This window comes from Homo sapiens, chromosome 8, assembly GCF_000001405.40.
Source record: "Homo sapiens chromosome 8, GRCh38.p14 Primary Assembly".
NCBI lineage: Eukaryota > Metazoa > Chordata > Mammalia > Primates > Hominidae > Homo > Homo sapiens.
Window position 1 is genome coordinate 92,848,805 of NC_000008.11, and position 26,560 is coordinate 92,875,364.

Below are 26,560 nucleotides of genomic sequence, written 5' to 3' on the forward strand. Positions count from 1 at the left end.
ATATTTCTACAAAGGACAGGATCGTGTTCCTTGTTATGGCTGCATAATACTCCACGGTGTATATGCACCACATTTTCTTTATCCAGTCTATCACTGATGGACATTTAGGTTGATTCCATGTCTTTGCTTATGTGAATAGTGCTGCAATGCACGATGCAACAAACCTGCACATCTGCACATATACTCCAAAACTTAAAAGTTGGAAATTTTTAAAATATATTAAAAAAATTAAAAATAAAAATCTGTAATAAGTTGGGAGTGATGTATGCTTTATTATAAATAACAATTAAGTTAATATGTTTTTAAAAATAAAATGGTTTCTCATGGCAAAAAAAGAAAGAAATAGCAGGAGACAGGTACTTTATCTTGCTTTTGTTTGGAAGGATCCAGTGACGTTTATTAGTTGGAAGTTGAGGATAGTAAAAAGGGACTATTATACAGAAAAGATGCAGCAGTCAGGGATCTACAGACCAAAAGTCAGAGTCTGAGGAAGGAAGAAGGTTGGTGACTATATAAGGTTCAAAGCTTTCCAAAAGGAAGAACTTACATTATAGAGCTGTACTCTTTCTCCTTCAGATGTGCTAATATTTGTTCTTCCTATGTACCATATCAGACTAAAAATACTGATAAATATAGATGCAATCAACAACAACAATAATTGTACCTATCATTTGTTGAGTATCTTTTAGGCATCAGGAGCTTTACAGATCCACCTATGTGCTTTTTTTTTTTGAGACGGAGTCTCGCTCTGTTGCCAGGCTCGAGTGCAGTGGCGCCATCTGGGCTCACTGCAACCTCCGCCTCCTGGGTTCAAGCAATTCTCATGCCTCAGCCTCCAGAGTAGCTGGGATTTACAGGCATGTGCCACCACACCTAGCTAATTTTTGTATTTTTAGTAGAGATGGGGTTTTACGATGTTGGCCAGGATGGTCTCCATCTCCTGACCTTGAGATCCGCCCACCTCAGCCTCCCAAAGTGCTGGGATTACAAGTGTGAGCCACTGTGCTAGGCCCTAAGTGCTTTTATATATAAGGAAACTGAAGCTCAGGGAGGTTAAGTGCATTGAGCAAGATCATGTAGCTTATAGATCATGGAGCAGGGACTCAAGCCAGTTCAAAACCCACATTTTTCCACTATACCATAATCATGTAAGAAAAGAGCTGGCCGGGTGCAGCGGGTCAAGCCTGTAATCCCAGCACTTTGGGAGGCTTTAGGTCAGGAGTTTGAGACCAGCCTGGCCAACATGGTGAAACCCTGTCTCTACTAAAAATACAAAAATTAGCTGGGTGTGGTGGTGCACGCCTGTAATCCCAGCTACTCAAGAAGCTGAGGCAAGAGAATCGCTTGAACCCAGGAGGCAGAGGTTGCAGTGAGCTGAGATCACGCCACTACACTCCTGCCTGGCAACAGAGAGAGACTCTGTCTCAAAAAAAAAAAAAAGCAAGAAAGAAAGAAGGAAAGAAAGAAAGAAAGAAAGAAAGAAAGAAAGAAAGAAAGAAAGAAAGAAAGAAAAAAGAAGAGCTAAACTCATTATTTGTGTTTAATTCATATAATAAATTGAACCTATTTAAATCCTGGTCCATTGCCATTCACAAACAGTATTTCTGTAGGGAGGAACTACACTAATTTCAATTCAACTATGCTTACTCAAAGGCAAGGGTTTATGATTATAAATACTTCTGTGATTTGAAAAGGCAACCATTCTTCCATTTTTCAAATCCATCAAGTTGACTGCTTCAAAATAAAACACCGCTAAATAAAATGTTTCACGTAGATGTAAGCTTTTTAACAAATAAATTGAATTAACACTTATTGTCCCAGGTTTTCTGTAAGAATTCACTTTCTTGATCCTAAAATCATTATATATTATCCCAAACTTTAAGGAAATGGAGTACATATTAGTTCCATTTTATATGTGAGAAATCAAAAGCTCACAGAGAACAAGTCAATCACCAAAGAACAAAGAGAATGTTAGTAGTTAAGCCCTCTTGCACAACGGGTAGTGGCATCACAGATGCAGAGGTAATGAGACAGATCTGGGGTTCATTCAGTTCTGGTAGGGCCCCTAACCATGACAATGCCAGGCTCTGACCTACACATAGGGATACCAAAAAAGGCTACGTTGCTTGTACTTAATTAACTTATATGTAGCAGTTCTTTTGATGATCCAGTTTAATGGTGTGTCTTTTGAAAGTCGTTTTTAAAATTTATTTTATTTTTAGATTCAGGTGGTACATGTGTATGTTTGTTACATGGGTATATTGCTTAATGGTGGGGATTGGGCTTTTAGTGTATCAATTACCCAAATGGGGAATATTGTACCCAATAGATAATTTTTCAACCTTTGCCCTCTTTCCACCCTTTCCCCTTTTGGAGTCCCCAGTGTCTATCATTCCATGATCATGTCCATGTGTACAAACTGCTTATACAAGCTTATACATTTATATATTAGAACATGTGGTATTGATTTTCTGTTCCTGAGTGAGTTCACATAGGATAATGGCCTCCAGCTCCATCCATGTTGCTACAAAGGACAGGATTTCATTCTTTTTTATGGCTGTGTAGTATTCCATGATGTGTATATACCACATTTTCTTTATCCAGTTAACCTTGATGGAAACTCACATTGGTTCTATGACTTTTCTATTGTGAATAGTGTTGCAATTAATGTATGAGCACAGGTGTCTTTTCATATAATGATTTTTTTTCCTTTGGGTAGATACTCAGTAGTGGGATTGCTAGGTCAAATGGTGGTTCTGTTTTCAGTTCTTTGAGAAATCTCGATACTGTTTTCCATAGAGGTTTGCGTTAGGCCATTCTTGTGCTGCTATGAAGAAATACTTGAGACCAAGTAATTTGTAAAGAAATGAAGTTTAACTGGCTCACAGTTCTGCAGTCTTTACAGAAAGCAGGGTGCTGGCATCTATTTGGCTTCTGGGGAGGCCTCAGTAAACTTAAAATCATGGTAGAGGGTGAAAGGAGAGCAGAAACATCACATGGCCAGAGCAGGAGCAAGAGACAGAGAGTGGAGTAGGTGGTGCCACACACTTCTAAATGATTAGATTTCATGTGAACTCAGAGCTCACTTATCCCCAGAGGATGGTTCAAGCCATTCATGAGGAATCTGCCCCCATGATCTAAATACCTCCTACCAGGCCCCACCTCCAACACTGGAAATTACAATTCAATATTTGATTTGGGCAGGGACAAATATCCAATATAAGTCAAGGATGAACGAATTTACTTTCCCAGCAACAGTGTATAAGCATTCCCTTTTCTCTGCATCTACACCAACATGTTGTCTTTTAACTTTTTATAATAGCTACTTTGGCTGGTGTAAGATGATATGTTATTGTGGCTTTAATTTGCATTTCTCTGATAATTAGTAATGCTGAGCATCTTTTCATATGTTGGATGCCTGTATTTCTTGAGAAAATGTCTGTTCATATTCTTTGCCCAGTTTTTAATGGAGTTGTTTGTTTCTCTCTTGTTGAGTTCCTAGTAAATTCTGAATATTAGTCCTTTGTCAGAGCCATAATTTGCAAATATTTTCTCTCATTCTGTAGGTTGTCTGTTTACTCTGTGGATTATTTCTTTTGTTCTGCAGAAGAATTTTAGTTTAATTAAGTCCCATTAATCTATTTTTGTTTTTGTTGCATTTGCTTTTGAGATCTTCATCACAAATTTTTTGCCTAGGCCAATGTCCAGAAGAGTGTTTCCTAGGTTTTCTTGAAAGTCATTCTTCATTCTTAAAAGATCAACCCAGAGTCCATTTCTTCAGTCTTTCAGATAGTTTTGTAACTATCTAATATCCTGTAATACATTCCTTCCTGCTTAAAGGAGTAGATTGGTTCTTTGCCATTGAATTCTTATTGACAGCCATGTGAATACAATGGATTCTGCATCACAGATTTACTGGTTAATGGAATATATGTTTTGAATCACCCCACATTATTTATACTTTAGTATTTCTTAATATTTTATGCTTTAGGCATCACAGTGAGGACTTGGCTTTTCTTTAAACTCAGAAAACCTGGGAAGAGATAGGACTAAAGAAAAAACAATGCAACAGATGAAGCAACCCAGGCAGGATAAGATGCCAGTTAAAGGGTTGCCTGCAACATTCTTTGTTCTTCTTTTGCCTTATCTCTTATCCTGTGTGTAACAAAAAGAGGAAGACCAAGGAAAAGAATAAAACAGTCATCGCCAATATTATAAAAAATTACAGACTAGGGGAAAAATCAGAGAGCAGATCACACAGAAAGATTAAAACACTGGTCTAAAGAGATCATGTGCTAAGAAGTTCTGATTCTCCCATCATCTTTGGTTAGCAATATAGTCTAACCTCAGTGAGGAGATTTCTCCCTTCTCCAGCTCCTGCTTTTTCATCCTCCATTTATTTCCAGAAAAAGCTTAAACTTTAGTTAGATATAATTGATCTACAAAAATTACACATATTTAATGTATACATCTTGATGAGTTTGGACACATGTGTACACCTGTAATACCATCACAACCAGGTTACTAACACTTGTCACTTCCAAACATTTCCTTGTGTTCGTTTGTGAAGGGGTTTTTTTTTTTTTGGTGAGAATATTTAACATGAGATATGAGATCTATCTTCAACATACTTCAAAGTGCACAAAGTCATATTGTTAATTATATGTACTATGTTGTAGAGATGATTTCTAGAACTGACTCATCTTGTACAACAGGAAATTCATACAAATAACTGAAAAGGCATCCTGTGTTCATGAGTTGCAAGAAATAATATTGTTAAAATATCCATACTACCCAAAGCTACCTACAGAATGAATGTAACCCTTATCAATATTTCATTGGCATATTTTACAGAAATAGATAAAAATCCTGAAATTTGTACAGAACCACAAAAGACCCCAAATAGCTAACATGATCTTGAAAAAAAAAGAACAAAGCCAGAGACATTACATTTCCTAATTTCAAAATATATTACAAAACTACAGTAATCAAAATGGTATGCTGCTGTCATAAAATCAGACATACAGACTAATGAAACAGAAAAGAGAGTCCAGAAATAAATCCTCATATATATGGTCAATTGACCTTGGAAAAGGTTACCAAGAACCCATAATAAGGAAAGAATAGCTTCTTAAACAAATGATGTTGAAAAAATTGAAGATCCACATGCAGAAAAAATTGGACCCCTATTTTATACATACACAAAAATCAATTCAAAATGTATTAAAAGCCTAAATATAAGACCTGAAACTGTAAAACTCCTAAAATGAAATGTAAGGGGAAAACTTCTTGACATTGGTCCTGGCAACGATTTTATTTTTAATATCACATCAACGCTCAAGCAACAAAAGCAAAAATAGACAAGGGACACTACATCTCATTAAAAATCTTCTGCAGAGCCAAGGAAACAATCATCAGAGTGTAAGGGCATCCTACAGAATGGGAGAAAATATTTGCCAACCATCTATCTGATAAGGGGTTAGTATCCAAAATATATAAGAATCTTCTACAGCTCAGTAGCAAAAAAACACAAAAACAAACAACCTGATTAAAAAGTGGGCAAAACACTTGAATAGATATTTATCCAAAGAAAACATATGAATGGCTACCAGTTATAGGAAAACATGTTCAGTGTCACTAGTCATCAGATAAATGCAGATCAAAAACCACAGTGAGAAACCTCACACCTATTAGGATGGCTATAAAAAAACAAAAACAAAAACAGAAGAACAAAAAATAATGAGTGTTAAAGAGGATGTGGAGAAACTGGAACCCTTATACACTTTTGGAGGGAATGTAGAATGGTGCAGCCACTAGGAAAAACAGCATGGAAGTTCCTCAGCAAATTAAAATAGAATGACTCTATGATTTAGTAATCTCACCTCTGGGCATATATCCCAAAGAATTGAAATCAGAATCTGAAAGAGATACTTGCACCCTCATATTCATTGTAGCATTATTTATAATAGAAACAACCCAAAAGGTAATGGAAAGATGAATTAATAAAGTGATATGTACATACAATGGAATATTATTCAGCCTTAAAAAAGAAGGAAATCCAGCCATTTGCGACAACATGAATGAAACTAGAGGAAATTATGCTAAGTGAAATAAGCCAGAAACTGAAAGGCAAATACTACACGTTTCCATTTATATGAAGTATCTCAAATAGTCAAACTCATAAAAGCAGAAAATAGAATAGTGTTCACCGGGGCCAGGGGGAAGGAAAAGTAGGAAATTGTTCTTCAAGGGGTATAAAGTTTCTCTTATGCCAGAGGAAGTCTTAAGTGTATCTGAGTGAGTGATTGGAGTCTTCACAATAAAATCAACCACTTTTTTCTGGCCCTGTCCCTAATCACCCAAACCATTTAACTTACTGACTTTGTCTTACCCCAAGATGTCAAGAAACCAAATTATTAAACTGAATCATGGCCAAACTCAATGCAGTAGCAATTCTTTTTACAATATCCCTGAAGAATGACCATTTAAACTCTGACTGATAGTTATGTTAATATTTTGTTGCCTAATTAATTAAGAGAAGGAATTCAGGCCAGAGGTGAAGCATAGTAAGGTACTCTTCCTTAAAAGCAATTAGCCAGTTGATTTCAACATTTCTACTCTTTGAAAACAGTATGTTTATTTACATTGTGCTTCCCCCAACTCCATTCAGGTGTAAACAGAGTGATACGTTAGCCTTCTCTGGTGCATCTGCCAACACAGTATTAATTTCTAACAGCTGAGGATGGCTGGACCTTCACCTCTACTTTATTTCCTCAAAATAACAGTTGTAAGATGCATAAATACAGCACAGACATGTCTATATAAATAAAACCACAGAAATAAACATATGCAGAGAATCATATGCTCAAACTAAAATATCTTAACATAACTCGATCGATTGATATTTTAGTCTTTTCAAGTTCCTGTGATAGTCAAATATTTATTCTCATGATGGCTGATGTGGTCAACCACACACAACTACAACATAGCTGGGAGCCCGTGAGTGTTTAGGTATGCCAGAAAGCAATACGATCATTTTTGTATATTGGGAACAGAGGTTGCAGTTCCAAGCCAGTACACAGGGGCCAGGCAGATGATATAAATGAGGGAAGTGGTGAAGGACTGGGATCTATTGGAAAGGCAGTGCACCTGCAAAATAAAGTTCTCACCACTCAGCACTAACAAAGGTTTTTTTGTCAATGGATATAGGCTCAGTTTCCCAGATTTTTCTATTTTTAAAAAGAAGTCAGACAACTTTAAAAAAAATAAAGAAAATCTCTATACTTTTAAGTGTTGGGAACAAATTCAACTTAAGAATAACCAAAACAAACCATTGACCAAATAAAATATATCTGCAGGCTCATGTACCTCCAGTTTGGTAATTTGTTTGACAAATGGGACATTTTTAGCTTCTTTTCTAAAAGTCTATATTTACATTTATTTATTTATATTCTTAGACATGAGTAAAATATTTCTCTAATTTTTAAAAAAGTGCTTAGGCTAAACTAGATGGGAAATTTCTTTTAAATAAGTCATCTTAGAGCAATGACCGCTACTTGAGATGGAAGAAGTTGTGCTAGTTATGGGGGCAGGGAAGCCAAAAAAAAAAAGAAAAACACGCTTTCTTGTAGAAATTATTATTAAAGACAATCTTAGGGTCACTATCCCATAAAAGTTTGTACAATGATGGAAACGTTGTATATCTGGTCTGTCCAATATGATAATCAGTAGCCACATGCAGCTACTGAGAACTTGAAATGTGGCTAGTACAACTAAGGAGCATAATTTTAAATTTTATTTAATTTAAAGTAATTTATTTTAAAATTTAAATCGCCACATACAGTTAGTGGCTGCTGTATTAGACAGCACAGCCCTAGGTATATAACCTAGAATAGAACATCTTGTTCAAAAGATATTATTCCTATGTGCATTCTTACAGATGTCAAATTGATTTCCAGATTGGTTTTACTGATTTATATGTCTAACAATGATTTTTTAAATATAATTTATCTTCTTCAACACTGGGATTGTCAAGATTTAAAATTTTTGATACTCATTTGGGCAATAATGGCAGCTCTTGGTCAATCTTTATTTTCCTGATTACGAAGTTTATCATCTTATATTAACCATTTGGCTTTGTACTTTGAATTGCCTGTTCATATACTTTAAATCATGTTTCTACTGGGATATTTGCTTTTCTTTTCTCTCTCCCTTCTCTCCCTCTCTTCCTCTCTGTGTTCCTTTTTTCCTTCCTTCCTACCTAACTTATAGAAGCAATTTATAAATTATTAATTTTTAATCTTTTACCTGTTATGTGAATCAGAAATGTCTTCTCCCAGTCTGTGCATTTTATTTTCACTTTGTTTATGTTGTTTTTTTTGATCAGAGGCTTTACAATTTGAATGTAGTATAGTGGATTTGTCATTTACTTTATGGTTTGTGCAGTTTATCCCTTATTGAAAAAAACTCTTGCTGAACCAAAGTCTATTTTATCTGATAATAATATAGCTTGGCCAACATTCCTTTGGTTTAGGGTTGCTGGATTTAGTAAATAAAATTATAGTATACCAGTTAAATTTAACATTTAGATAAACAATAACCTTTTTTTTTTCCTTTTTTTTGTATAAGTTTGCTGTATGCAATATTTGGGACATAATTATAATAAGAATATTCACTATTTATCTAAAATTCAAATATAACTGGTCATTCTCTATTTCATCTGTCAATTGTATTTTGCTTAGAAAATATCTCTCCATGTATTTTTCTCTCATTTTTCTTCCAAATTTCCAAGAGCCTTATGCATTACGTGTCTCCCTCATAATTAGCATTTAAAAGAAATATAGTTCATTACCCAACATAAGGATCTGTCTCCCAAAAGGCAGATTGAGGCCACTTACATTTATTGTGGTTATTTCTTTTTAAATATTTATCATGCTTTTTGTTGTGTTTATTTTTCTCTTTTTCTGCCCTTTTCTATATTGATTAGGTTTTATTTATTTCTGGCTTTACACTCTGCTAACTTGGATAATATAACTCTATTATTTTAGTTGTTGACCTTAATATTTTAAGCAAACTTTTTGTACCTGTAGTTATACTCAGTTATTTGAGAGATCTTCATGCTCTTTTCTCATATTTGAATGAAATGGTTCTCATTATTTGAATTCTTTTTTTGTGTGTGTATTTTTCTTTTTGTAAAGTTTTGGGAACAAGACAATATAATGATCACATCTATGCTTTACAAAGAAAACTCTGCATCTATATGAAGAATAAATGATGGAGCTAGGCTGGAGAAGTACACTACTTGAAGTCAACAAGAAAGCAGCTGGTGAAAGATGATGAGACACTTATTAGAGGAAGAAGCAGTGAGGATGGAAGGGAGAGAAATATACACTAGAGGCACTGGAAAGTGCATCACCCACCTTATTGAGTCATCAGATATGATATTCTGAATTTCCTGGGTTAGGTAAAAATTAAAATGGAAATTGTAAGAAAATAGCCCTTATTTATTTATTTATTTATTTATTTTTAACAAAACAAAGAATCCAAGATTCATCAAGACAGAATGTTGTTTAAAGATACTGCAAATGGCCAGGGGTAGATGGAAAAGTGAATAGTTTTAGCTACAGCTGCTGTCACATGGGAAAGTTACTACTGTCTTGGTTGGAATGGTGGGTGGGGATGGGTGGGTAGAGAGTGTTGAAAGATTTGGAGTGGGGTGAGAAGGCTTCCAGGGCACAAAGTTGGAAGTAACTCTTCTCACACTGGAAAAACCTTCATGGGTAAGGCTAAACATATTGCCAAGATAGGGGGCTCCTGCTTGGAAAATCACTGGGTCCCCACCAAGAGCAATTGTGATGCTGCTATGGAGTGTGGTTCAGATTGAGATAGCTGTGAAGCTTGGGCTTCAAGGATGAACTTGAAGACCCAGTCTCCAGCCCTTCTTCTGCCTTCAGATTTCTCCTCCACACCTGTAGTTTACTATATTTTAAGCATTGGTATGTAATCTTCATATTTAGAATTTGTTATATCTATATTCTCTTGAGGGTCTAGTATTTAGAGCCTGTGACTGTTCCTCCCTGCAGATCAATCCAGAGATTTTGGAGAAGATAAAATATTGCAGGAAGAAAATATTTTAATTCATGATCTTGAGGATCTCAAGGGAAAGATGTGTCTGATATTAACAAAGAGGGCTTGTTCTCATACAGTAATGTCTTTGGCCAAAATACAGAATGAAGGAAGAGAAGCAAACACTTCCTGTTGTGCAGCTCAAGCTACTATATGCTTTTGAGGACTCCTACATCACATTCTTTTGGTACCATCATTCAATTCTCCATATTAAAGAAATTTCAAAAAGTGTTAGTTTTCAACATTTGGTTATCTTTGGATTTCTGGCAACAGTGAGGAGATGGAGTTGCCTCTCTTTATGCAGCCCTTATGCAGCCCAGAATTTACTCTGTGTTTTTTTTTTGTTTTTTTTTTTTTTTTTTTTTTAATGGCGTTTCGCTCTTGCCGTCCAGGCTGGAGTGCAATGGCGTGATCTCGGCTCACCACAACCTCCACCTCCCGGGTTCAAGCAATTCTCCTGCCTCAGCCTCCCGAGTAGCTGGGATTACAGGCATGTGCCACCATGCCCAGCTAATTTTGTATTTTTAGTAGAGACGGGGTTTTCCCATGTTGGTCAGGCTGGTCTCGAACTCCCGACCTCAGGTGATCCGCCAGTCTCGGCCTCCCAAAGTGCTGGGATTACAGGCATGAGCCACCACGCCCAGCAAGTTTACTCTACTTTCATATGGATTTGTGAGGGCAGTAAATGCAGGTAGGGATATGATGGTGATCCAATATCTATTGGTCTTCTTGTCCATCCATTTTGTCCCTTCCTGGAGAGATGGAGAGGGCTATCTGCTTTTAGCACAAACTTGTCAATTCTCTTAGGAAAGGCTCAATTAGCAAAGGTGATTTCCTCATTGTCTATTGGAGGCAGCTCCTCTGCTGAACTGCTGCTCCCCAAAGAGCAATAGCAGCATTTCAGCTGATTTAGGCATGATTGATGGAGACTGTGAGGTCTCACCTGTCAGTTCATTGTATCAGTAAGATTGAGCTTTCCTTTGGGGTGTCCAAGACAGTGGATGCAGCACAGATCTCCCACCCTTTTCCATGAAGAAGAAACACCATATTCAATATTCCAGAATCCCCTGTTTCATTATCTCACGGTCCTCGGAGACCTAGGATTTCAAATTTAAGTTTGTCCTGTACATGAAGGTAAAAACCTAGCACAATGTACATAGGGTGATACTTTCCTAAAAAGCAAAACAAATGAACAAAAAAACTATATGTTTTCAACAAAACAGTGGAAATTAAAAATTTAAAAACAGAAAAATAAATCTATGTGTAGGCTATAATACAAATATAAACCAGAACCTACCTTTAATAGAGAAGCCCTTTGCCCGAGGGCTTTCTCTGATCACAAGGGCATTCTCATCTCATGGACAAGGAAGGCTGGAAAAGCTTGGGAAGAAAATAGATGAGGAGGAAAATAGAATTAATACTCTGACATTCTCAACCCTCAGGTGGGATTACCCTGAGTAGTGCTCTGTATAGCCTTCCAGAGGTCCCTTAGCAGTGTAAAATGTACACACACACATACACACACACACACACACACGCCTCTAACAAGATTCCTATAAAGATTAAATGCAATAAAATATATGCAAAGTGTCTAGTGCAAAGTAGGTGCCTAATATGCATCCTTACTATTCTTCATTTTAGGAGTTTTCAGTGATACAGATGATCTATCCATTACTTTTCCAGCCACTGGTAATCTCTATTCAGACCCAATTTTTCACACACAATAAATACTTAGAAATATATAGATCAGTGTTTCTCAAAATATGGTTGAGAAACCACTAGCATCAGAATCACTTATGGAGCTTATTGAAAGAGAAATGTCTAGGTTCCACTAAATTAGAGTCTTTGAGGATGGGCTCAGGAATGTGCATTTCATGAGAAGCAATTATTTGTGTAAAGCTAGGGAAAATTGCCTGGGAGGGCTGAGACAGGACTCCTCATCTTTCACCATTGGTAGGAGTCAAACACAAGGGAGAATAGACTGAGGATCTGGCTTGAGACTTTGCCAACTGAAAAATCATTGCTGTTAAGAGTCTGGGCTTTGAAGCTAGAAACACTTGAGTCAAAATACTGGCTTTGTCACTTACTTGCTATTGAATCTTGAGCAGGTTACTTACTCATTGTAAGTCTCAGTTTCCTCTTATGTAAGATATGAGTAACAATGGTAAACACCTCAGAGGATTTGGAAATGATTAAAAGAGATAATAATGCAGGTACTTTATAAAGCCTGGCACTTGGCACAGAGTGAATGACTGCTAAACATCCATCTTTATCACCACTGTCATCTGATTGCAGGAAAGCCCTGGAAGTATATGAGTAATAAAGTATTTATTGAAAACTCCCAAAAGTTAAACTGTGGAATGGTGGGCTCCTCGGTGGGACAAGACAGCCAGAAAATAAATCTTAGATTTAAAATTGGGGTGCCATAAAATTTACTATCCAACTACACCATTTATATCCAGGATAATTGCTAAAACCAATGGAATGCTTGGAATAGCTGAAATCTGAGATTTGCGCAGGCAAAACAGAATATGGTGTCACTTGATTCATAATCTGACCTCCACACTGCAGAGAACTTGTCTTCAAATGGAAAAATACCAGCATTGCACAGTCTGTCACTTTCTGCTGGCATCTAAGTAAAGGTCATCTCTATATGCCCCCAACTGTAGAAAAAATCAGAGCTATAACTATGCTTTCTATATTGGTGTTCAATAAATTACTTTGTTGTTTAGCAGGCTGTATTTTCCAGGAAAAGTTCCTTTATAGGTTTGTGTCCTATGTAATTATTAAAATTATAAAAATACTGTGTTAACATGTTGTAACTTAGTTTCTGTAGTTGGAAGTGCAAGTACAAGGCAGAGGAGAACCATAAGTAAAGATTTACAATAGTTAGATTATGTGGCTTTTATTCTGGTGTCATCACAGCTGGCTGTGTGATCACAGGGAAATCACTAAGCTTTGCTGTGTTTTACAACTCCATCATCTGCAAAACAAGAAAAATGCCACCTGTACTAAGTCCCTCAGAGACTGGTAATAAGATCAAATGTCAGAGTAAGTGCTTTGAAAAAGTATGACAAAAGAACGTTTATTTTTAGTAAAGAATGGAGACTCACTTCTTAAACAGTGAGCACCCATATCTCCTCTTAAGCCACCAAGTAGAATTGAAAGAGGCAATGTGTAATTATAACAAAGCTCAAAAGATCTGGTCTCCTGGGCCTCATCTTCCTCACCCTCCCATTGTTGTGGCAGGTGATTAATCATCAGGCTTCTTGACTTCTCTCTTTGCTGGCTGTCCACCCTAGGGTCATAGCCACTTTTCAAATCCTTCTTTGGGCTTTGCAGCTATGCAGGGCAAAAAGCCTTCCCTGGTGTTAGGGCATGCCAAAGCTGAACCTGGAACCACCATTAGCCTAATTGACAGCACAGCATTCCCCTGGGGAGAAGAGTGATAATCTAGCTATTTATCTTGTCTGTAGTTTTATCACCACTGTGCTAAGGCAGAGATGCTGAAATATAAAAATGAGGTAATGCACATTCTTCCCAGACTATGTGCTATTAAAGCCAGGTTGGGGGTCAGAAGAATAAACGGGGAGCATCTGGAATTGTGGTCCTCTCTGTTGCTGCTTAATATCTCAAGTGGCCTTGGAGTAAGGGGCTGCTCATGAGGGCACTAAAGGACATCTCATTGTAATTGGGAGCAGGCTGGAGCTGTGTGGCCACTGCTACCCATGGAGTGGCTGCCTGCAAGCGGCTAGACTGCTGCTTTTCTGCAAGGCAGGAGAGGCCCATTAGAAACATGAAGGGGCAGTTTAATTCTGCAACAAGATGTGTACAAATGTCTGCCTCCTATTGAAACCCATGCAACAGCTTCCAAAGTTAATTAAAAGCTAATTTTCTAATGAGGTGGCAACATTGGCAACAACATGCTATCAGTATGACAGCTACAGCCAGCAGCCGGTAAGGGAACAGGCAACCTCCCTCTTACAGGATGGAAGATCCTACCTGCATCCATTAATTAGTCTCCAGCTGTATTGTTTTAATGCTAGCCACTAGTATAGACGGTTATAAAAATCATAAATTGCTTTGGCATTGCCACGGTATTGTCGATACTTATTTTTACAGCAGGGCTATTTCTAGGCGTAACATCTCAGGCAATGAAACCCACTCCTGGAAATATTAAATCTAGGGGTAATGCCATGGACACTCCGTTAGGTCAAGTGCCATGGACATTTTAATCCTTTTGGCAATTGTTAATTGTAAGCCAGATTTGCAATTAGCTTTAATAAATAGAGAGAAAGTGCCTTAAATTAACCGCACGTATGTTGGTTTTGCCTCTTGTTTCAATTTCAAACACATAGTCAAGCAAGATGACTCTTGGTCATTGTCTTAATGATATGGGTCTCCTGGCCATAGTCAGAATGTGCCAGACACCTGTGGCCATTCCTAGGCATTCTTCACAGGGAGTGTATAATGATGTCATGCAACTAGATGCTGAGCATCACCAAGAAACAACAATACACATTACTATAGAAACTCCAAGATTCTGGATACTTAGGAGATAGCTTGTTTGTTAAATTCTATCAGTAAATAGTTTGACGAACTATTTAGAGTCTCTAAGATAATCTAAAAAATTGAATAAAACTTTATCATATAGTCATTTAATGGTAAGCAGAAAGCAGAAAAATACTCTTCTTTTTTGTCATATATTCTCTTTCTCATAGTCTCTCTTTTAGATTCTGCCTCATCTCTTCATTCATTCATATTCTCTCAATATCATTTTTTTCACTGTTTCTTTTTACTCTTGCTGTCTTATACTCATATTCTAGTGCTCTCTAGAGTTCTCTGAAGCATAGAATATGGTTTTAAAGCTACATGGTTATCAATTCATTGAAACTTCAGGAAATCCCACCCCACCATTTCACTGGACAACATTGAGTCATATGCCCACATTCAAGCCAATTACCAGAAAGGGGAATGAGACCATATAGTTTGCTCAAAGTAATGAAGACTGCAGCTAGAACTGGCCTGACCACCCCAGAAACAATGGCTATAGGGAGGAGTATGGATAAACACCTGGATAAACTTTGGGTTCTGTTTGGCAGGATAAAGGGGAAGATGCCTGCTGGAGGATTATAAGTGTCTGCTACAGAATTATAAGTAGTTTTTAGGGTATGGCAAACAAAGAGGGGAGAAGAATCTGAAAAATACTGTCAGGATTGTTCCCAGAAAATAAGATGACTAAAGTTGGGCCCTCTAGAGAGGAAGGAAGTAGGGTTCCATGTTCTGTGATACTAAGATCTGCACGTGTTAGCAGGTGTGAGCAGAACTGAGGTCTTAGGAGGAGGAAGCATCACATATCATTCATTCTTTAACAAATGTTTGTTGAGTGCCTGTTAGTGTCTGGCACTACAGATAGAGTATTAAATAGGACAAAGTAATTACTCTCAGAAAACTTTTTCTCTAGTGGGGGAAAGAGATGAAAGGCAAATTAAACATATAAATGAAGTCATTTTAGATTGTGAAGAAACTCAGACTAATATAGCAGAGTTCTTGGCTTAGGACAGAAGCAGTTAACATTAGCTAGGTTTGTCAAGGAAGGCATCTCTGAGGAAGTTATGACAAAAATGAAGTAGTAATGGGAATTTTCAATGAGCTAAATATCCGCTACAAGTGACAATCAGCTAAAAGGCACGTTCCAGAAAATTCCTTACTTGACTTGCGCTGGTTTTACTTGACTTGTGCTTTCTTTACTTGTGCTTCATTTCTGAAGTGATAATTTAATAACTGTGATTAAGAATCATTACTAAGGACATACAGTCTGCTACAATTTTGTTTAAGTTATTGATTCATTCAATAAATATTCATTAAGTACCTACTGTGTGCCAGGCATTATCCTGGTCAAGTGGTAAGGAACAACATTAACAAAACCAAGGACATTCCTGCTCTAGGGGAGCTGACATTCCCATCAAATTCATCATAAACCCATTATAAAATTCATCATCAAACCCATCATCAAACCCATTATAAAACAAGCAAACCAACAATGAGATAGATGCTAAGCACATTTGCAGAGAACACTAGCTTAGAGATATTAGCTACCTTGAATTACATTACAGTTCAAAGTACTGAATTTTTAAGTTATGCACACTGCCTTAAATAAACCAATAATACAAAACAACTGTGGTAGAAATTCAGGCAGTAACTAAATCTGATGAAGGTAGTCTTCAAAATATTCAGAGTGAAGACTTACGTGAAACATGAATTTATAGGTGCATTATTCCAGGGAGAAAAGCCCAGAGTATTCATGAGATTTTCAAACGGGTTTGTTAATTCAAAATGTATCCAGAATCACCAATTTAGAAGTTACATATACCCCCCAAAGGGAGCTTTCAAGCAGATTTCAATGCAAAAGGGAATATTAAAGAAGAGTACATACCAAGAAAGTAGCAGTGATTTCTAAAGAATACCATCAGTGACTCTAAGCCCCCAAATGTATTGAGGTGGGTGAAAATTCCTAAAGACAAATATTAAAAAGTTTTAGTTGTTTATGTTCCAAATAAGAGAAAGGTCAGGGAGGGAAGGTCCAGGTTTACCTGTTGCTGAGGTCCAGTTGTATAACACTGACAGACAATAAGTAGAAAACCAATCTGATAAGGCCCCTTGAGTTTTCTGCTTTCGTTATCAAGGAGAATCATCTTCATATAGGAAAGGCAGGAAAAATGCTGGTAAAAGGAAGTTGAAGCCCTAAGTTTATAAGAAAACTGTAAGAATTTGTCTGCCTCAATTGTCTCTTAGCGTTTATATATTACTTATTTAGAACTTTAGGAAACTTAATCAGTTTATCCGTCTACCCTTGGTATTCTTAAGAAATCATGAAGAATTCAAGTTTTGGAAGACTAGAGGTAGGTAAACTTAGTCTTGACATACAAAAGCAGGTCAGAGAACTTGACTCCAGGCAAGAGTTTAGAATGGACTATTTAAAATATATTTTGTGAGTACTTAAAATGAAGTCAACTTTGTTTAACAAAAACCTATCTTGGGCTCATTTTCTTTTGAGATAATGTTTCTCAAAGAAAACATTATGGAAATGCAGTAAACTATACTACATACCACACTGTGTTTAATAAATTCTCTATTTGGGAACATTTATTTTTTTTTCTAGAGCATAGTACAGCATGACCTTAGACGTTAAATATAAAAACTGGCAAACTAAATGGAAATAGTACGACCTACTCAAATATATCTCTTACTAAAAGAGCAATTTAGAGCTAAATAAGTGTAGTTAAAAAAATCTGGCTCTAGAGTCAGACATTTTTATTTGGCAACCAAGATCCATTACTTCTAGAATACGATGTTGAAAAAAATTATCTAAGCTTTAGATTCCTCAAAGTAAATTGGGTATAACAATATTATCTATTTTCTGTGGTTCTGTGAGGATCAAAGAAAATGATACACTTAAAGTGTTTACCAGTGGGCCTAGGGTGACAGAGTGCTCAATAAATGATAGCTTTTGTTGCTATTATTATTCCTTGCTAATTAAACATAGTGGTTTTGGTAGTTGTAAACCTAAGCAATGCTCAAGGAAAAGGGGCCAATATAATAGCATAATAAATTTAAAAACTGTTAAAGAAATTATCATATGAAGAATATTAGTAACAAGCCCTAATCTTCTCACATGTTAATATAATGCTCCATTAAAATCATATTAATAATCATTAATGTTAATTTTATTTCAGAGTGAGCCCTGCCAAAGTAGTCAGAGAACTGTGAAGTCATGCATAATGAATGCCTAAAACATTATAAAATCATGTGAAAAAACAGTATTGATGCACACATAAATGGCTCACTGAAAATAATGAAGAAAACACAACCACTATAATTTGCATATTTTGGTGCCCAGTTAGAGCTGTGGAAAAGTACTTCCCCATGAATCTGTGCTGTACCCACCATTCACTGGGATGCCTCGTCAAGCACCATGCACCCAACCAGACAAGAAATTCGTTTTTCAGTCCTTAATTTGGGAGTGTGCTAGGCAGTTCTGGAGGCTGCTAACTAAACGACCATTTCCTAGTGACTAGTACTGTGCTATGGTAATATGAGGCACATTCCTATTTATTTATTCTTTATTCAGTCCACTGACTGAGTTCCAGCTACAATACAATGACAATCTAGGAAAGAAAAAATTAGACATGGAGTCAGCCCATGGAAAGATAGCAGGCTACATAAATAATTCTAATGCTTAATGGGCTGTGGAAAGTGCCTTATGAAAGGTACAGCTGAAATACTCTGATGAGAAAGAGAAAATGTAATTACGGTTGAGTCTTGAAGCACCAATACTAGAGATCTGTGACTGAGTAGCTAGTGACAATAGAGAAGGAACCTAGAAAGTAGGCACAGAATGATCCAAGAGCAGAGAGGGGAATCATAGGTGAGCATCAGGGAATAGAGGAGGCTAATTAGATTGGGACTAGGGGTTCATGTAGATAAGACTTTGAGGAGCTAGAAGAGGACCTCAGACTGAACCCTAAGAACCACTGAATTTTAGGGCCAAAGAGAAACAAAGGGAGGCCACAGAGGAGGCTGTAAAGAATCAGAAAAGAAAGTGAAAAGGTAGGAAAACATGGTATGACAGAAGCCAAAAGAAGGAAAGGTATCAAGTAGAAGACAGTTTCAAACAGTATCAAATGCCAGAGACAAGCAAAGTAAGAACTGAAAAGTGTCCATTGAATTGGGCATTTAGGAGATTATTAGTAAGCTCAGCTAGAGCAGATGTGGTGGAGATGTAAGAATATAAGCATAAATACAATAGATCAGGAATGAAAGGAAGGTGAAAAGGAGATATAGTGAATGGAGATGAAACTTAATAGAGAATGTGACATTCGGTTAGAAGAGAAGACAGAAATGGTAGCATTCAAGGCCTGAAATAAGATGCTCACAGTAAGGAAGAATACGGAAGGATTCAAAAGTGAGCACAGATGTGAAATGGACAGGATGTGAAGCCACCATAGATTGGCATTTGGCTGAGAGGGAAGGAAGAGGAATTGTGTAGGTTTTTACAGAAAGATGTGCCATTGATAGAAGTAGAAAATTTTAGAAGATGAAGAGAACAAAGAAAGAAAGTAATGGAGTCTTCTTTGGATGATCTCAATCTGAGGTCCTTTTGAATCTTATTTTCTAGATCAATGGTATCTAAAGTAGAGATTATGCATCTTCAGGCATTCAATATATTCTCTGCTCATTGACAGCTCTGCAGTGCAGTTTATGTGCTACAATATTGCATGTGGCTAATTTTGTAAAAATTAGAATCTTTATAATACATTTAATGAAACTAGAGTTATCATAAAAATCTTTTTACAATGCAGAATTACAGAGGTTATCTTGTAATATAGTAGTTAAAAGAGTGGTAAAACAAGAGATGTCACATAAAACTTAAGAGATGTCCTGGGCTTAATTTGCTGATTTTTAAAACTTTTTCATAGGACTTCTCTATTTTTACTCATTTCCCAGATTTCTTCAAATTTTATGGCTGAAAATGTCACCTTATATGACTCCCAAATTTGCATTTCCAGCCTGGACTCCTCCCCAAATCTCAAGTCTTAGATATTCAACCATCTATTCAACATCTCTACTTTAATCAACTAACAAGTATTCTTTGAGCACTTACTGTATGCCAGGCACTAGTTTTAGCACTTTGAACACAACAGTAACCAGACAGGAATCTCTGCTCCTGTGGATCTTTCATTACAGTGGAGGGAAACTGAAAATAGACAATATGCATAATAACTAAGCAGAATAGATGGGATGTTCAAAAGTGATAATCATTGAGTAGTAGAGAGGTGGCAAGTGGCTTAGAAGTGCTCTGGCAGGACCGGGGGCACCAGGTTGAAATATTAAATAGGGTAGTTAGGGTGGTACCTCAATAAAGAAGGTGACATTTGAAGAAAGATTAGAAAGAGGTGAAAGAGTGTGTAGTATAGAAGAGTCATTGTAAAGCCCCTGAGGTCAAAGCATATCTGGAGAAATCAAGAGAAGTCTGAATTATGGCTGTGGCAGAGTAAGTGGGGCAAATGGAAATGCTGATTTCCCCCTTGTCTGTCTTCTTTTTCTAAATAGCACTTCTCACCACCTGGAATAAAATGTGTGTTATATTTGCATGCATTTTTTTTTCATTTTTTAATTTTATATCTCTGTTTACCTACTTCTCCAGAATGTGAGCCCTATAATAGAAATTTATCAGTTTTAGTTTGCTGCTGTATTTCCAATGGCTAAAAAGTATCTTGCATGTAGTAGAAACTCAATAAATATTTGTTGAGTGAATGAATATATTAAAAAGAATATAGCATCTACTAAAAATACAAAAAATTAGCCAGGTGTGGTGACGGGAACCTGTAGTCCCAGCTACTCGGGCTGAGGCAGGAGAATGGCGTGAACCCGGGAGGCGGAGCTTGCAGCCTAGATAGCACCACTGCACTCCAGCCTGGGCAACAGAGCGAGACTCTGTCTCAAAAAAAAAAAAAAAGAACATAGCAATACAATATGCTTGTATCTCCCTATATTTACGTATCTTTTGATTTAAGGGAGCAAAAATTTGGGTGTTCTTGTAATCAGACAGAGAACAGGGAACAAATAATTTACATATTTTTAAATGAATATGAAGGTTTCATAAAGTCTGGAAGGCTAAAGAGCAAAACCACAAATATATAAATATTAACAGAGGATAAATCTGGGCAATATAATTTGGGTTTTTTTAATTTGCTTTTGTATTTTTTGAATAATGAACATATAATTGTATGTTAAAGAGTAACAAAACTATATATAATTTTATCTATCTATCTATCTGCATATACATACGATCTAAACCTGTGATCGGCTGAATTGATTTGAACTTTTAAAGTAGAAACAAGTGGGTCAGTGTATGTGAGCCTTGCTTTGGGATCTTATTATAATTTTTGGTTGAGTAGACTATAATTGTGGTGTACCTCCACAAGCCACAATTTAATGAACCTGGAGCCTCATTTCTAGGACCAAAGAGAATTGGGAACCTGGAGCTCGATAATGCTGTTTTGTTTCATTAAATGTTCTTACTGTCTGTGTGGAAATAAATGTGACTTGTCCCTGACAGATGATAAAAGGCAGCAGACATCATTAGTGTCCATCACATGATTCCTGACACCTACCAGAGAAAGGGCCTCTTGCTCATGATCAGAAGTAAAATCTTTCTACCGATTGATTTGAAATTGCTTCTTAACTTCAATGTTCAGATCTAGCCATGAAACCAAGAGTGGTTTCCTATTCCAACCTTAAAAACCTTCTTCTGAGGTTTTAAATCATTTCAGCTCTGTATTTCAGGGTGTTTCAATGACAGCCATGTTCACAAAGGAAGGAGGCTCCATGGAATGCTTTATTAGAATTTCAAAAAAGTGCCATCTCTCGAACTGCTCATTACCAGGAGCAACCTGATGCCAAGCAATTTATGATTATTAAAACATATAATTTGCATTTAAATTAAATGAATTAATAAATAGCAGAGATTAAAATAATGTGTTCTATTTTCTTATTGTTTGTTGCCTTAATTTTTACACATGCTAAAATAAAGAATAAAATTTATGGGTCTTCATTTGTTTTTGTTTTTTTTTTTTTGTATAGAGTAGGTATAGAGAAAAATAAGAATTGGAGAAATTAGTCTGTATTTTTCCAGATTTTTCATGAGAATATGTTCTTAAATGCATGTTTTCCTCAAAATATGGCTGCTTTAAAAAAGAACTATATTTATTTGTTTTAGAAGATATTTCTCAATATTTTCAATGTAAGAAACTTTCAAAGAACATGAATAACCGAAATGCTTTGCTTCCAGTTTCTTATATAAAATACTTTCAATATATAATAATCTTAACATCGAATAATTAATATTTATTGAGAAACTATCATATGTAAGTTATTATACCAGACAGTATGGTGAAAATCAAAAGTATAAGACCCCCCCTTTACATAAAGTATTGAGTTCAATTATGGATATACAACTTAAGGCCTCAAAAAACTTTTTAAATGCAAAACATAAAAATTCTATAAGAAACAATTCCAAGGTGATTTTACTGCATATAGTCAACCTGGAAAGCAATCGATTCAAAAACTCTCTTTCCAAGTAAATTCTGAGACTGGGAAAAAGGGTGCCCTCCTGAACCTGAATCTCTCCTCAAGTCCTCCCTGCAGATTATATCAAAAAACAGTGCAGATGAAATTACAAGTGATTCAAGACTTTAGTATTACCAGGAAATAGAAAATCCTATGAACATCAGTTTGTCTATAAATACAGATATAAATGTCACATCACAACAAACCTCCTGACATAACTGTCAGCTTGTGGGTGAAGAAGAAAGAAAGAAGAAGAGAGAGAGAAAGAGAGAAAGAGAGAAAGAAAAGAAAAGAAAAGAAAAGAAAAGAAAGAAGGAAAGAAAGAAAGAAAGAAAGAAAGAAAGAAAGAAAGAAAGAAAGAAAGAAAGAAAGAAAGAAAGAAAGAAACTTAAGACACATCATAAAAATGTAGAGCACATAGACGAGGCACAGACCCCAGAGAAAGGAAGTACAATACTAAGTGGAAAAACTCTGGGTATGGTATCTTGTAGTTCACAACACTTGGTATAGGAAAGATGTTTAAAAGTGAGTAGTATTAAAGCAGCCAGTAGCTTTGTAAAGCATTCCTTCTTAGAAAGAATCATAAAAGTAGAGAGAGAATTATGTCCTGATGATGTAGGAGAAATAAGAAAGAAGAAGAGGAGATAATTGAGGATCTTTCAGAAATTAAACAGTAACAGGTCATGCCAGTTCTTTGCTTCTCCCCTACCACAATGACATTCATTAAAGAAATGGCCTCACTATACTGACAGAAGCAGGGATTTCTGGGCTGAGAATCCTACCCCTACCCCCAAAATGCCCAGGAATAGGAAAAAAAGAAAAAAAAAAAGCCAATGACATACAGAGCTAATGGAAGAAGAAAACAGAAAATTTAAGTCAAAATACTTCGGACACTGAAATGTTATTTATCAAAAAAGAAGAAAACTGCCACAAAACCAAAGAATAGTCTAACACAATTTTTTTTTAGTTCAGCTTAATTTCAAGTTTAATTAAAAAAATCTCAAACAAGCTTTTGGAAATTAGATATAGATATGTAGATATCAATATGGATATAAATATAAACTAGAATCAGAAATTTAAAACAAAGAATATAAGTGGAAAAAAAGAGGAAGTAATGCAATAAAAGTTGATTGATCTTAGTAAAGAAATTGGAGGAAAAGACAAGTCCATTTCAGAAATAAAAGATAAATTAAAAGATACCCCAGATTTATAACAGATTCTACTGAAAGTTTAATAAGGGACTTTGAAGAAAAGCAGAAAAACAACAAAGAGAATAAAAATGAGATAAATAAATAAAAGGGTCAAAGAAAAGATGCTTGAAATGGAAGATATGCAAAAAATGTTTAACACACATATAATTGAAGTCTGGAGAAAAATTAAACAGTCTAATATAACTGATATATAAAACTATAATCTTAAAAATCAGAACCAAAAAAACTTATTTTTACATATTTTATGGCCCCACTGTATGCATGGAAAACTCAAAAGTAAGAAAGTCTGAGATGGCTCCTAGAAAACAACTAGAATTTAAAGAAAAAAAAAATCACTGAAGGTAAACAGGCAATAAGATCAAGTTACTTACAAGGGTGAAAAATTAAACTGCAGAGAAAGCAGAATAAGATTATTGGCTGTTTTATAAGTAAAAGATGAGAGTAAAAGGGTATAATGTAAGATTTACAGTCCACATAGTAAAAGGTAATTTATAAAAAAAAAAAAGTATATTAAGGGCAATAAAAGTATAAATACTAAAGTAACCATTAGAATAAAATTACCCACTTTCAAAAACACCAAAATGTTTTTTAAATAGCAAAGAAGCACTAAACAGAGAAACACAGTATATATAACAAAATACAGTATACATATATATACTAAACAGAGAAACACAGTATATATAACAAAATACAAATAGTAGCAGCAACATAAACTTATGTATAGAATTGATACCAACATATCAGCCACATCAAAAAGAATAGGTTTAATTCATCTGTTGCAAGGAAAATTTTCAAATTGGCTCATAGAGCAAATCCCAACTTTATTTTCTATGTGAGGGGCAGACAATATACACTGATTCGACAAGGCCAAAATTACAGGGATGGGAAAGGATATAGCAGGAAAATTAAACAATAAAACAGGAAGAACTGCAATATTCATATAAGAAAAAGCAGAATTCAGGCCAAAGGCCTTAAGGATACTCTATAACGCTTAAAGCTGCAATTCAAAGATGTAACAGTTATGAATATCAACACAGCAAATAACAGAGTCACCACTTCGAAAAGCACAAACTACAAAAGATGCAAGGAGAAAAAAACATAATAAAAGAAGACTTTAAAATATGACTCTCAGTAGAAACAAGTCAAATGAAAAAAAATAAGTGAGGATATAGAAGATCTATAAAGCATAATAAGTCTGATTTTTTATATCAAAACTGGACAATATTCCTTATAATAGACTGTACCTCCTTCTTCAGTATGAATCATTCCCATAAACTGATCACATATTAGGTCAAATAGAAAACATCAGCAAACCTCATAAAACAGAAATATTGCAAGCAACTCTAATTACACTATGGTAAAATTTAAACTTAAAAATTAAATTTTAAACATAAAGCTCTTCTACCTGTAAGTATACGTATATGTGTGTTTGTATAAATAAAAATAAAATATATTTTACATAATATAAAACTTTCTATTAAAGAACTCTTGGATAAAACACATACATATATAAAACACACACACACACACACACACACACATATATATATATACACAAATATATGTGTACCTTCTTATTAAATGACACTTGGATAAAAGGGAAAATCCAAACAAAAATTACAGAATTTCTGAATAATGAATTTCTGAAATAAACTAAAACAGATATATGAAAGGATATTTAACATCTTAAAACATCTAGATCAGTAAAATAAAATAATTTTAAAATGTAAATTACATTTGCAACTTAAGAAAATAAAAATGTGGTAAAATACTAAAACCACGAAAAGCACACAGTAGGTTAAAAACCATAAAAATATTAAATCAAAAAATAAAAATCTTTATTCTTTGGAAATAATAAACAAAAACCACTAGATAAATTAATCAAGAAAAGGTGAGAAAATCCAAATATACAACATAAGAATGACAAGGGAAAATAATTATTGATACAGATAAAATGTTTTAAATAAAAAGAGAATACTTTTCTAAGCTAGTAAGAGACTACTTTTCTTAGTGATAACTTGAAGACCTCAGTGAGATAGATAATTTCTTAGGAAAATACAACTTACGAAAATTAACCTCAGTAGAAATACAAATTTAAATAGGCCAATTCCCAAGGAAGAAAGAGAGAAAATATCAAAGAAGCACTTCACAAAATAACAAGACATAGATGACTTTTCTTAGGTAGAAGTAACACATCATAAATTGATTCAGAGTGTATATAGTGAAGAAAAACTCCTAAATTCTTTTTATAAAACAAGTGCAACATTGGTGCTTACTTCTGAAAAATATATCACAAAAAATTAAGGAACAATATCATATATGAATTTGATGCAAAAATGAAAAATAATTAGCAGACACACCTCTGCATAAAAAAGTAACACAGCAAGGCAGGTAAAATTGATACCAGTAATGCAAGGATAGTACAATATTACAAAATGTATCCCTATAGTGGGACTTTCACATAGAAAAATAATGTGATTATTTCCATAGATGCTGAAATATATGATGAAAACATTCAACAACTATTTTAGTAAAACAGAGAATAGAAATGTATGGATACTTCTTTAACGTAAACATACACTGGATATATATATTCATGCATTTATTTTATGTATTCATGAATTATATGTAAATTATGTATTTATATATTATGTACTACATATTTATATAAAATATATAAATACAGATTTATACATGTAAAATTTTATTAATTATATTACTCATATACAATTATATATTCACTTATTTGTATATTATATAATTGTATATAATTTTATAAATTATAAATATGATAAATTATATATGTGACTTGATAATTTGAAAACTTATAATCCATTTTGTATTTTATATAATTGATAAATAACTAATTATATACCATTGACTAGATATATGTATCTATTCCCCCCGATCCCACCCCACACACACATAGGCACACACACAATCAGTCCTAAAGTAAAGCCAGATTTTTATTTAGTAGTAAAACACAGTAATTCTTAGTAAGGTCAGGAGTAATGATGGCCACTATCTCTATAATCATTAACATTATGTTGATGGCACTAATTACTCAATGTTCTTAGATAAGCGGTAACAAT

At 35.0% G+C, this 26,560-nt stretch overlaps 1 long non-coding RNA gene across 1 annotated transcript; it reads right to left on the bottom strand.

Annotated features, from left to right (window-relative positions):
* Nucleotides 1-1,494: 1,494 nt before the first annotated feature.
* LOC124901978 (uncharacterized) lies at nucleotides 1,495-26,108 on the bottom strand. Its single transcript, XR_007061007.1, has 3 exons — nucleotides 16,719-26,108; nucleotides 16,562-16,639; nucleotides 1,495-11,505 (listed from the first exon to the last, which is right to left on the bottom strand). It is a non-coding gene; the product is annotated as an uncharacterized LOC124901978 (long non-coding RNA).
* Between the last annotated feature and the right edge of the window lie 452 nt (nucleotides 26,109-26,560).